This window comes from Homo sapiens, chromosome 5, assembly GCF_000001405.40.
Source record: "Homo sapiens chromosome 5, GRCh38.p14 Primary Assembly".
Classification (NCBI taxonomy): Eukaryota; Metazoa; Chordata; class Mammalia; order Primates; family Hominidae; genus Homo; species Homo sapiens.
The window spans coordinates 136,237,119-136,250,770 of NC_000005.10; the positions used below are offsets into that span (position 1 = coordinate 136,237,119).

At 45.4% G+C, this 13,652-nt stretch overlaps 1 protein-coding gene and 1 long non-coding RNA gene across 5 annotated transcripts in view; one reads left to right on the forward strand and one right to left on the reverse strand.

Moving 5' to 3' along the window:
• The window catches only part of TRPC7 (transient receptor potential cation channel subfamily C member 7), a 152,801-nt gene that overhangs the window by 24,374 nt on the left and 114,775 nt on the right, over positions 1-13,652 (reverse strand). For all 4 annotated transcript variants that reach the window (NM_001167576.2, NM_001167577.2, NM_001376901.1 and 1 more), the window contains one exon: positions 10,353-10,617. In NM_001167576.2, coding sequence (NP_001161048.1) covers positions 10,353-10,617 — 265 coding nt within the window. The remainder of the gene's footprint in view (positions 1-10,352; positions 10,618-13,652) is intronic.
• TRPC7-AS2 (TRPC7 antisense RNA 2) overlaps positions 1-13,652 on the forward strand; it is an 89,446-nt gene that overhangs the window by 10,464 nt on the left and 65,330 nt on the right. The window lies entirely within an intron of this gene.

A 13,652-nucleotide genomic window follows, 5' to 3' on the forward strand; every position in this document is an offset into this window, starting at 1 on the left:
GGTTTGAGGATGGTTAAATGCCTGAGAAAGTCTGAACTCATCCCTTCCTTGGCCCTGCAAAGTTCTGTCCTCCGAATCACCTCTGAGTTCTACCTTGGGTCCTCAACAAGGAGTTTGATTTAGACAGTCTAGAAGTAGAAGAGTCTGGGGCCACAGAACTGATGCCAAGAACTGGGATATGTAAAGCCTGTGCAGCCTAGATTTATTTATACTGAGGGGTTTCACTGTACCCCATGCAGCCTGGGAACTCTTGGAGGGAAGAAGCTGTGTTTTCTTCATCTTCGAAACTGCAAACCTCATCAGAACCTGGTACACAGGAGGCATTCAACAAATTCAAAGTCAGCTGAATAAACGAATGAATGAATCCCTAATGCATGTTTTGACTTCCTGTTCCCTGATCCTAGTGTTGTTGAGTCCAGGTGATGATGAAACAATCGAGGTGCAAGTTCTGACTCCAGGCAAACCTGGTTTGAGTATACGTTTTTGGCCAAATAGCCTCATCTCTCTGTGCTGCTTTGTTTCTGGCTGTAAAATGGGAAAACAGTAATCTCCACTTCATAGAATTGTTGTGAGGATTGAATGAGTTAATGGAATGCTTGTGAAATGCATAAATTACTGCCTGGCACATACTAATTGCTCAATTAATGTTACTAATTTTATTACTAGTGTTCATTTTTTACAAAATCTGCATCAACTGCAATAGGCTCCAATATCTGGCTGAAAGACTATGGAGCCCTGCAATTAATTTTCAGAAAAGCCCTTGGAAAACAGAAATCAGATCCTGCCCCTCTCTGTTAGTGGCTTTCCCTGTGGCTGACAAAGCCCATCATCACCCAGCGCAGGCCCTCAAGGCCCTGGGTAGTCTGGTTCCTCCCGCCTCCTGGAGCCCGAGGCTGGCTCTCCCTTCACTCATTGCACTCTGCCTGGGTGCACTGGCTGAGCTCTCTCTTGGAATGCCTTCCTCTCTCTCTGTACCTGGCTGCTCCTCCTCTTTTTCTTATTGAGGCTTCAGGCTCAGTCAGCATGTGCTCCACGAGACCTTCTTTGACGACCTGTCTGAAGGAGGCCCTCTCTCATGACTCTTCTGTACAGTGTCTTACTTCCCTAGCTCCGAGCTCTTAATCTATAACTATCTTACTTGCCTATTTGTTTATCTTTTTGCCTCTTTTCCCTCTGAAATGTGAGCTCCATGCTGACAGGGCCTGCTGACCTCCTTCGTCACTCTGTCCTCAGTACTCAGAATAGTGTCCAGCTTGTAGCTGGGGGGAGGGGTCAGTGAACATTTTTGTCAATGGATGATGGAACGCTGGGAAACTGAGGCAGAAGGTGATCTGGCACTTGGCCTTACCCAGCTTGCCTCAGACCTGCCCCTGCTGGTAACATCTCAAGCTAACCCTGGACATTGCAGTTTCCTGCCACTGTCACTTAGAGAAATGGCAGCTTAAACCATATTATCATCCTAGAACTGAATTTTAGTGCATAAAAAGGTGAGACCCTCTCCCCTGTCAGACAGTGACCGTCAGCCTGAGAAGCAGATGGAGGGCCCTGGGCAGTGCTTGAGAGGGTGCCGTGAAGCCAGCATCCTCAGGAGCACATTTTCTGTGTGTTGTCAGGTCTTTTTCCTCAAAACTTGGTGGTTCTCAGACTGTTCCAGGGGCTCACAGGTCCCAGGCTTTTAGAATCCAGGTCACAAATAAACATGAGAAGAATGTATCCATAAACATTTTACGATAGTAGAGTGTCTGTTGTAACAATTATTCTTCTAAAGTAGCCCAGGAAAAGATCTATATTTTTATCACTTGTTGGAGAGTTATACAAAGAAAAAGACCTTATATTAGACCCAAATGATCTTTTTTGACACATAAAGGTCATTTCCAGGTCCCCAGCCTCTCTGAGCCTGACTTGAGCCCCACACTGATCTCAGCTGCCTTCTCCATCAAGCCTTAGAACTTTTCTGTGCTGGTTTCTCCACCTGAAAGTGGGTGCAGTAAGCTCTCTCATCCCTCCCAAACACCCTATGCCTAACTTGCATTAATTAATTAATTAATTTTTGAGATGGGGTCTCAATCTGTTGTCCAGGCTGGTCTCGAATTCCTGGGCTCAAGCAATCCACCCACCTTGGCCTCCCAAAGTGTTGAGGTTACAGGCGTGGGCCACTGTGCCCAGCCGGTCCTGACTTGAATTTATAACATGAAAGGTGGAGATTGTAACTTTCACAGTGTAATAAAGTCTGATGGTGAAACAGCCTGTGGAGCTTCTGAATCAGAGATGCCCATATTTCAACACCGACCCAGGATCCTGGGAAAAACGGGTCCTTCACAAAGCCCAGTAGGCTGATGCCATTCCTTGTTCCCCACCTGCAAACACGTTCAGCACACTGCACAGGTAAACCGGCAGTAGGCCAAGCTCCTAGGGTGCCTCAGGGTGACCTCTCCCTCGGTTTCTCTCAATATATCATTGATTCTGATGAGTTTTATGACGTATTTCAGCCTGGGCAGCCTCAGCAGGATCCCCTTTGCAGCCATAGCCTGCCACTCTACCCCTTGCCCTGCTTCTCCATCCCACTATTCCCTGCATGCAGCAATGCACCCTCTCTCACAGGGCTCCTGCCAGAGCCTCCCAGGCGATCTATCTAGCTCAGCTCCTTTTGTAGCTGCCTTTCTTTCACATTCCTGTCTTTCAGAACATTTTCTCAATTTGTAAACATGCCCTCATTCCTGTGATTATTTGATTAACATCTATCTTCTCAAACAGTCTGCAAGTTTCATGAGGGGAGGGACCACATCTGCTTTTGCTCACAGTAGAATCCCAGCACCCAGCTTGGGCCTCCACTCTCACCCCTTCCAACCCACCCTTCATGCAGTTGCCACAGCACTCTTCCTGAAAGCAGACCCAATTACATCTTCCTCCTTTTACAAAGGCCTTAGCGGAGACTCTAACACTCTATCAGGACTTATGAAGTGCTTCACAATCTAGCTCCCACCTGATGCTCTGATTTAATCTTCTGCCATCTACCCAAATGCCTTCCTACGTGAAGCTCTCCAAAAATGCCTTGCACATGCCAGAGTGCCCTTCCAGTCATCCTCCCAAACTCTCTGTTTAGAGCCACCCCTTCTAGGAAGCCTTCTCTGACTGCCAGGTAGGGCTCAGTGCTTCCTCCTCCCTGTGCTACTCAAGTACCCTTTGATGATGATCATATGGGATCGTAGCTGTTGCTTTTGCCCCCTGCAAAATCCCCACTGATCCATGAGTTTCCTAGGAACAGAATTGTCTTATTAATCTCTATGGCCTCAGGGACAAACACCACTTGGCATAGAGTAGTTGCTCCATACATGTTTGTCAAATGAGGGAGCTCACTTTGGAATAGAAACCTGCTCTATCCAGGGGAGAATCACAGTCTGCATATTAAAGCTGAGATATGTAGAATCAGCAGGTTCTCAATGGTAATCAAAATCGGAGTTAGTATGCTCTTTTTCAGAATTTACTACTATAGGAGAGCAACTCAACTTTTAGAGTCTTAGCATCCATCTCAAAGTGTAGGCCCTAGTGTGAGTGATGGAAATTTTAGGCCTAAGGTGGAGGATGGGCTTGGACTCATGCGGATTTGGATTCAGATTCTCTCATTGGCTCTATGATCTTGGGCAAGTCTGGTACCTCTCTGAGCCTCAGTTTCCTGTAATAGTATTTGTATTATTCCACTGTGGATTAAATGAGAAAGCAGGTGCATATTTTTCATGAGTTGGTCAACAATTTGATATTTATTATTATTATTATTATTGCTGCTCTTTACCAACTCCAAAAGGATCATCTGAAGCCTCAATTTCAGCTCTAAGCCGAGTACGTGAAGCTCAGCCTTGAAGCTGGGACAGTCCGTGGCAGGTGGGGGTGTGTGGGCAGAGTCTTAAGGATCCTCTCCCTCAGCTGCAGTTCCCATAGCTGGAAGGGGAATCTGGCTTCTCTATGGCAAGGACAAGTTGGGTGGGGCTGAATCAGTGCCTCCTGAATCCCTCCCTCATAAAGTATGGAAATTTCCCATAAGTGTCACGGAAAATACAAGTTTCTAATTTTGCCTAGCATTGCTGAAGCTACTTCCATTAAAATGATTCCTGGGGAGACAGAACAACCTTAATAGAGGTATTATTTTGATTAGAAAACTCTCAACCCAGCTATGCTATGAAGCTGACTTCACAACAGCCTATAGAAAAGATGGGCTGAGATGATCTTTTGAGAAACAGAACACACATTTAGTCTCCAATCAGGATTGAGTCTGAAAGGCCAAGTTCACCCAAAGGGGAGACAGGGGCCCACCATGGGTTGTGTTAGAACACCCTTCACTTCCTACTCTGGACCACCTCATTGCCTCCGGCCCCTCCTATTCTCTGTGTAGCTGTCCCATCACAGTCACCAGCTAGGGTGTGAGAAAGGCACTCTTTTCCTTCCTTCCTTTTTTTTTTTTTGATGTAGTCTCACTCTGTCACCCAGGCTGCAGTGCAGTGACACAATCTCGGCTTACTGCAACCTCCGCCTCCCAGGTTCAAGTGATTCTCCTGCCTCAATCTTCCAAGTATCTGGGAAAACAGGTGCGAGCCACCACGCCCAGCTAATTTTTGTACTTTTAGTAAAGATGTGGTTTTGCCATGTTGGCCAGGCTGGTCTTAAACTCCTAACCTCAAGTGATCCACCTGCCTTGGCCTCCCAAACTGCTGGGATTATAGGTGTGAGCCACCGCGCCCAGCCTAGGCACCCTTTTTCTATGCATTGTCACTCAGCTGTATTTCATCTATGAGCATGGACCTTTTATTTCTCTTTTTCTAACCCTGTAACAAGAGTGCTGGGACCCCAAGAGTTCCACACAACATAAACAGAAAGTCTTCACTTTATGGAATATGTGCATTTCAGCAAAGTTGGCTATAAAACGAACCTCCAAAAGCAAATCCTATTTGTCTACTGAGTTCTATGATAGGGTTAAAAATATGTCCCCAGTCACAAAATTCCTAACAGTCTGAACTGAGAACTTTTCTTAAAGACTTTATTAAAGGAAGTGTGTTCTCAGGTGATTTTTCTCTCCACTTCCTTACCCATGTCTTGGGATACTTCGATTTTGTACTCTGAGAGCATAAACCTTGTCTGAACATTTTTCCTTTCCTCACCTGTGGTCATTTTCAGTTTCTAATAGAAGTGGCTTGGAGATAATGAGTTGCCAGCAGGTGTACTATCTGTCATGCCCAGACAGGCCCCAGCTCACCAACTAGTGACCCATGCTCCTCCCCTTAGGCCAGCACTGGACACAGAAGTGGCTATGAAAAACAACCCAGACCTTTGAGAAAATTCTTGGTTCTGAAGAGGAAGGAGGCTGAAAAATTGGGAACTATTAATAGGATCTGACTTTGGGGCTTGCTCCCACTGGATCTGGCTACCTCTTCAGTAGCTTGTGCTTAAAAAAAATTGCCTGCATAGAGCCTGAAATCCTACTAATAAGATATTCACTTAAGTTAACAAGCTCCTTGTTTTTGAAGTACAAAGAGCTGAGAGTGACTTCCATCTCCCTATTGGTGCAATGATGAGGTTGGATCAGATTAGCATTTCTCATACTGTGATCCTAGACCATCTGTACCAGAATCCTCCAGGGGCTTGTTAATGTTGATTTCTGGGTCCTACCCAGAACTACTATAATCAGACTCTCTAAGAGGAAGAGCCTGGGAAGTCCCACGTTTAGCCACCTCCCCAGGTGACTCTGATGTGGTTTGAAAACCACTGCTCTGTTAAGGCTGCTCATACTGTATATTTATTCACACCTTGGGCTAAACCAATTTAATCCATCCATTTTCTTCTAGCCTCTTCATTGAGGTCTGCCAGATGGAGAAAATGAGAATCTGGGAGTGGCCGGAGGGAGGCGGTATGTGATTTTAGAACTGGAAGACACTGGGCGATAGGGCAGGCCTTGGTTGAGGGTTGGGGCTGCAGTTAGTAGAGAAGTCTTTCTTCTCTTCTTTCCCTCTGTCTTAGAATGCTTGCCCTTCCTCTTCCCCTTGGGACAGTGCTACAACATGGTGAGACTGGTTTTTGTGAGCTGGCCTGGGACTGCACCCCTAGGGTGAGCAGAGCTCATATGAAAAAGCTCCCTGTAGGTTTCTAACAGCTGACTTTCGAAGTGGACTCCTGAACAGTCTTTAGAGACTCCAATTGCCCTTGGATGTGGCAGGAATGGGGTTGGGGGGAGGTCAAAAGTGGGGCTGGGGGGATACCTGCAGTGTGCTCCAACCCAAATTTCCCTTCTGTAGAATTGGGTCTGCCGAGTCTATAGAAACAGATGCTGAGTTCTATAGACTCCTGCCTTACCCTACAAGCTCAAAATTCCACAGAGAACAGGCCACTCACCTGTGGGTGGGTCAAAGGGAAGATTATGAGCTGGGCAGGGCAGCCTGGGGATGGGCTGCTCTGGAGCAAACATTCACCTGAGTGAAGTTGTTTGACTTCATCATCAGCATGGCTGGCACTCAGAACAGCTTTGAGTATCCTAAGGCACGAGTCTCATTTATTCTCACATGGCTTTTTTTTTTTTTAATTAACAAAGAAGATCTCTTGGGGGTGACATGCACCGGAGAGCAGTCAAAAGGTAAAAGATGACATTTACAAAAATCCATTCTTTTCTCTCTCCACTTCACTGCTCTATTGACTGTTTTTCTGTTCAATCAAATCCTATTCACAGCTACACATCTCATTTCAGGAACTGCCACGGCGATAAATCTCCCATCCTTTCTTCACTGTGCTTGCCGCCTCCCCACCCTTTATCCTCTTCCCTCTCCTAGAAGGTCTGGGGTCCTCTTGGTTGGGTCTCTTGTGTCTAGGAAATCTTCATTCAGTTTGCCTTTCCCCATCACTCTTCCTAATCCCAAAGACCCCAACCCAGGCCACCTGCCTTCCTCCCTGTATTGGTTAGCTGTGCTGCATCTAGTTGAGAATTGTGGCTAGGTCAGCCCTACTCTAAAGTCATAATCTCTCTCTCTCTCTCTTTCGCCCTCCCCTCCCCTCCCTTCCCTCCCTCCTTCCCTCTCTTTCTTCCTTCCTTCCTCTCCCTCCTCCTCCTTCTTCTTCTTTTTTCTTTAATGAGGTTTCACTGTATTGCCCAGGCTGGTCTCAAACTCTTGGGGATCCTTCCACCTCAGCCTCCCAGTGTTGGGATTATAGACATGAGCTACCAGGCCTGGCCCCTTTGTCATTTTTCTGTGTGTCATGGCACTGATCTTCTGAGGGAGTGAGGGACTGTGGGCTGGTGATACAGGCTCTCCGTAGAGGAGGGAAGAGAGGGATTGCAGAGAATACTCTGGGCAGTAGGAACAGGATAGAAGTGCACACTGTCAAATGCCCAGTCTACTGTTTATTTGACTACTTTGACTCTGGCTTCCTTTCTCCTGTTTATTCCCTCATTCTTGTTCATAAAGCATTTAATGAGCAAACAACCTTTGCAAGGCACCATGCTAGGCTAGAAACACAGGAGGGACACCAGGGTCTGATCACAGAAAGTAAGAGCCTTCGTTTATCGGCTGACATCCTCTCCATGTTCAGTAGCAATGCATCCCATGTGGAGTGGATACATTTAGTTTTACCTTTAGCAGATCTAGAGCAAATTTGCTTTTGGGTGATTGAAACTTATTCTATTCCTTCAGCAGTTAATCACTAAGTATTGGAGTGATATAAAGTAGTCCAGCTGATTCAACAATGTGCTTGGCCTGTGCTGGTGGACAGTGTGTAAGCTAGACCACTGCCCAGAAAGGGCGCTATAGACCAATTCAGTACTCAGGTGTCTTTTCTTGCAATTTATTCTCCCCTGAGGATAAATTATTCACCATCTCCATTATCATCATTACTATTTATTGAAGGCTCACTTTATGCCAAGCATTGCATTTGGTCGTATTTCTTCTTATTGGATCCTTACAACAATCCTGTGAAGTTGGCTCTCTTAGTATTCTCATTTTGGAGCTGGGGAAATTGAGGCCCAAGGGATTTAAGCACTTGCCCAAGGCCACAAAGTCAGTAAGAGGCCGAGCTCAGACTGAAACCTAGTCTGTCGGTCCATGGGGTACCAAGGCTCCAACATAGCCTGTGGGCCGAGGAGCAGAGCCAAGCACCTCTCAGGTGCATTTCTCAGCACTGGGCCTGGCACCTATTCTCTTGACACACAAACTACTTTGCTTCAGGGAGTAACAGCTTCTGTGGTTCAGCAGCACCAGAGTCCCACTCTTTTAGGTAGTTTCAGCTGGGTGGGGCAGCGCAGTCCATAATTCTGAGCTAAGTGGCACAGAATTCATTGTACTTGGTTCTCAGAGACAAGTATCTTACCTTAATGGGTGATTTCTCCAGAAGAGTAAGATGAGGCCCTGCTGCAACCTGGAAATTGCTCAGGGAGTCTGAGGGGCAGGGATCAGAGCCATTTCTACTAGCTGGAAAACTGACATTCTAGGCCACTCAGGGCTTCCTGGGGACAAGTGTCAGGAAGTGCTTAGCCCCATTGATCCTGGCTGCTGTGCTGGGATTCCACAAGGCTGAAAACCTGACTATCCTCCTTTCAAGACTTTGGCCAAGAGCTTGGTGAAGGCAAGGAGAAGTTCTGGAACTGAGTGGGTCTGGGGCAGGACATGGACTGGAAACACTTCTGTGTTTCAGGCACTTTATGTAAACATCCTCATTTATCCATAAAGGTATTTGTGAATAAGGTGGGAAACCTTATTTTCATTTTATAGACGAGGACACAGAGGCTCAGATAAATCAAATGACTTAAGTTCACCGGCCAGTATATGCCTGTGTCAGGAAGTATATTCAGGTCTTCCACACTCTTCCACTAGACCCTTCTCGGTGCTACCGATGGCTGGCCCTCCAGGAGACTATCTGGCATCCTGCCCCGTGCCCATCCCCAGGGGAGGAGCTTTGGATCTTTGTGGACACAGGCTTAGAGAGCTCCATCACCACTTCCACGGTGGGGGATGTGCATGCCATTGTGTTACTCTGCCTGCTTTCTGGAGCACCCCTAGCAGCTACTTCTGGACCCCAATTTCAGTGTCTTGCCTCATGCTCAGGCTGCATGCCTCCTGCCTCTCTCACATGGGCTTTCCTTCCTGCTGCAGAGGCACATGATGCTGCAGGACTTGCTGGGTGTCCACACACAAGACCTGGCTTGCCCAGCCAGGCATGGAGAGCAGTGACCTGCAACCACTCGCAGACCTGCCTCCCATGCTGTGTGGATATGGCTTCCCCAGGGCTTCCCTGGAAGTGTAGGTGAGTTAACGTCCTATGGAGTGACTAATGAGAGACAGCAGATGGGACTGATCTGGATGATAAATTCTCTATTCTCAGCCTGATGGGCTATTCTGAGATGTGGTCTTTCCAGATAGTCCCCCTGGAGAGGTCCATCATGCCCATGCTGTGTATTCTGGTGGGCAGTGGCCAGGGAGCTGCCTGGATTTGCTTTCCCCATCTTCACTTCACACACCTCTCATGCAGCAGCACTTTGTACTTGCTTCCCCTCTTCCCATTCTTCACTTTCCTTTTTCCTTCAGTTTTATTTCCCTTAGATTGCAACTCCCTCACTCTAATAAAGTGTTAGCATGCAACTTTTACCCAGAGTTCTGTTTTCTAGGCAACACAGGCTAAGACAATAATAACAGTAAGAATAATTTTTTTTACCACATATTGAGTTTACTACGTGAGTTACATCATCTCACTGAATCCTTGCACAATCTCTATGAAGAAGGTACTATTATTATCACCATTTTAAAAACAAGAAAATGAAGTATCAGAGATGTTAACCCATTTCCCCTTGGCCCCAAGAATACTCGCCAGCATGCTTGCTGCTGCATTGTTTACCCTGAGATAACTCATGGATTGCAGTCCTAACTTTACCCCCAAAGTTTACCACCACAAAATATCTCGCTTTTATTATTATTTTCACATCACTCTAGTCTATCAACTTTGGAAACAAAAGACAACATTATATTAATGGCATTCTGTTTTTAGTAGTGGTCTTTCCATTTATGAAATTTCCATTTATGAAATAATTCCTGATTGCTGAGAATGTCAAATCCTAGAAAACGTAGCATTCCTACATGTGATTTTTTTTTTTCTAAATGGGAACATGCTCTGGTCACACGAAATGTAAGTGGCAAAGTGAGGATTTAACTCAACTCATCTGTTCAACTCCAGAACCTGAACTCTAAACCACCCTTGAATAAAGTTGCCTTTAACCTTGAGAGATAGCAAGGAAACAGCAGTCTCTGCAAGAAGCCACCTTCAGGAGACTCCCAAGGATTCCCAGGAAGCCCAGGGAGAACCTCAGGGGAAAGCTCTCAGATACTCACGTTGTAAACGCTGGGTTGTATTTGGCACCTCGGTAGTAAGAGTACAGGTTGAACATCCCAATCATGAAGGCCACAAATACCATGATGAAAATGACCATGAACTTGAAGATATCTTTCACAGTTCTCCCTAGCGAGATCTGCAGGGGCCCAAAACTCTCGTTGGCTGGCAGAATGTATGCAATGCGAGAGAAGCTCAGCACGACGGCTATCGCGTAGAGCCCTTCCGATATGATCTGAGGGTCTGAAGGCCACCACTTGTCCCTGGCTAAAAGAAAACAATCTGGGTTACTCACGAGGCCACAGGATCTATTCTAGAAGAGAAACCAGTTAGGCATCTTTAGAGGTCTCCAACTGCATCATTTGCCATTCTTGTCCTTGTCCTTAAATTAATCCCAATATCCAGAAGTTGCCACCCTCCCTCTTGGAATGTGCTGGACCATCTGCCTGGAACACTCTTCTCTCACTTCGAAGTATGATTCATTCCTAATCCTCCTCTAAGACTCTGCTCAGGCATCACCTCTTTCAGGAAGCCTTCTGTGATCCCCCTTACCCCCACCACGGGCTGGGCAGGTTCCCAGTTTCCGTCTGTGCTCTCATTGTATCCTGTACACCCTCCATGTCTTGGCACTCACCAGGCCACTTGCTATTCTGTCTCCCTCACCAGTGTTTAGCTCCATGCTCAGGAGCTGTCCCACTCACTGGGGAGGCAGCGCGAGGAATAAGATGGGCAAGAGCATGGACTTGGGAGTCAGACATCCCTGAGGCTGAATGTGGCCCATCCACCTACTGGCCACATGACTCTGAGAGACAACTAACTAACCTTTTGAGCTTTATTTTCCTCCTCTCTAAATTATGGATAATATCCATTTCACAGGACTGTGGAGAGGATGAAATGAAATCATACATGTAAAGTGCTCAGCACAGGGTCTGGCACACAGCAGGTACAGATAAGTGTTTGTCAAATGACTGAATAGACTTTTAACCACAAGTTTAGACCAGACACAGGTCAGAACAAATAAGCTCACATGGGGACCAGGAATCTAAAGGATCTTGCCTGAAAAAATACTCTTGGGTTTTGTTCCTCAGGTACTGTGTGCTGGGATATTGCTCCTTGATTAAGCTAAGGCCCCAAAGTGGTGACCAGTCAGGCAGGTTTGCCACGACAGCCCTGTTCCAGGTAGGCAAGGGTCCTAGGACTGATCCTGAGCTGGGAAGGCTCTGCTTGTGGTCACTGTGACCACAAGGGCCTGAGCTCTCCTATGGGTATTTCTGCTGCAGAGCAAACCTGCAAAGTGTTCCTATTGCAGTTCTAATGGTACAAGGAGCAGCACCTATCACGAATCAGCTGTCTATTACATGTCAGTGATTCTCAAGTGAGGGCAGCACTTCTCTCATGGAGGATGTGTGGCGGTGTCTCTGGTTGTCAAAGTGACTGAATAGGAGTACTACTGGGATGCTAATGTCCTGCAATGCTCCAGACAGATCTGTACAATGAAAACTGCCCTGCTGGAAAAGCTAATAGTGTCCCTATTGAGAAATGCTGAGTGAAATATTAATTGAGAAGCATTGAGAAACCTAAATTAGCACTTACACTTACATTAGCTGTAATTTTCACAACAGCCCTGTAGAGTAGATATCATTATTGCCATTTTTAAGATTGGATTTAGGGTATGGGGTCCTTTTCAGAGACCGGTAAATGCAGATAGCAAGGATATTACATAGCAATTCGTGGCATTCCAAGGGAGATTGAAGAGGAAGGCTTTTATTCTTTATTTTCAAAACTAGACTCTGTTAAATAATTATAATAATAGAGAGCAGTAAGAAACCTTTAGTAAAGGAAGCCAGGCCACAAAGTTTCATGGAGTGATTCTAAATTGCATTTGGAAATATAATAACATTACAGATTCTATGTTCTCATCAAGGTCATACCTCAAAAAACCATGAAAGACTAGTAAGCAGAATAAATTACATGTTTTCCAATATATCTGTCATCTTCTATGGATAAATATTTGGATAAGATAAAATAAGACATAACTTCTCCCGTTAAACAGAAGGCAAAAAGGAATTCTTTTTTTCTGCGGCCTCTAGCTCACCATCTTAAACCTCAGTCACAATAACAAGACACTCTTATAATCTACTCAGATAGATTTAGCTGTTGTCAGATCCTGGTGACTAGGTCAGGACTTATATTGAAAAATATTATATTTCAACTGACTTGTAAAGAGTTGTGATGAGTGTAGAATGAACAGCACTGTGATGATTTGGACAAAGGGGTTTTCTCCTTAGAGCTATTTCCAAGAGAAAAATTGCCCTATCACAACCTGAAAAATTGTTATCTGCGCATTTGGTGCTGTAGAGGTTGGAAGGAGCCACCGTCCAGCTGGCCACAAGAGGGCTCTCCTGCCCTGTAACTGGAGCACAAGTTAAGCCAGAAATCCAAAGGATTTCCAAGGGCACAGCGTGAACCGCAAATACAAGAGCAATAACGTACTATGCTTTGGGTTGGGTGAGACCTTAATACAACCCATAAAGCAACAGAAGTCAGAAGTGGACAATACTGCAGCCTGAATCCTGGCATTAAGAAAAGTACATAATGCAGCATCAATATTCTCTCTTCCTTCCTTGATGAACCCTAACAAGACAGAGGATAATATCCAAGCTATTTTGCTTTAAGAAAGTCTGAATTTGCCAAACCCCAAAATGGCAGAGGGTGGGTGGGTGGATGACTTGTAATACTACAAGACTCTCCATTTCTCAATGGAGATTTCCCTACCACATTTACATGTAACATAATCTACACTGAAAACGGGCAGTTACTCAACTTTTGCGTTAAGCGAACAACCCTCTGCAGATCATTGTTGTACCTGACCACAGAATCATTGTTGTATCTTACCATAAAGATTCTGTGGTCCCGGAGCCATCTGGCTTCATGTAACAGGGACATTCAACACTCAATCCCTTCAAGATGTTGTAGCTACCATTAGCAATTGCCTACTAAGTGTCCAGCTGCTTTTTACTGTTAACAAGTATCTACTGTTCCTTCAACTTTCAACATCTTTCTGTTTCAGTACAGAAATTACAGTGTTTGAACAAGAAAATGACCCAAAAGGTAGTAGTAAGACATAACTTATTTTAAAATAAGTAAGCAGATAATAGCTGCTACCATTAAGTGAGCATTTACTATTTTCACAGCAGAGTGCAAAGCGCTTCACATACACTATTTTATTCAGCCCTCAAAACAAACTTTTTGATGTAGGTATTATTATCTCTGTTTTACATATGAGAAAAAAGAGCTCAGAA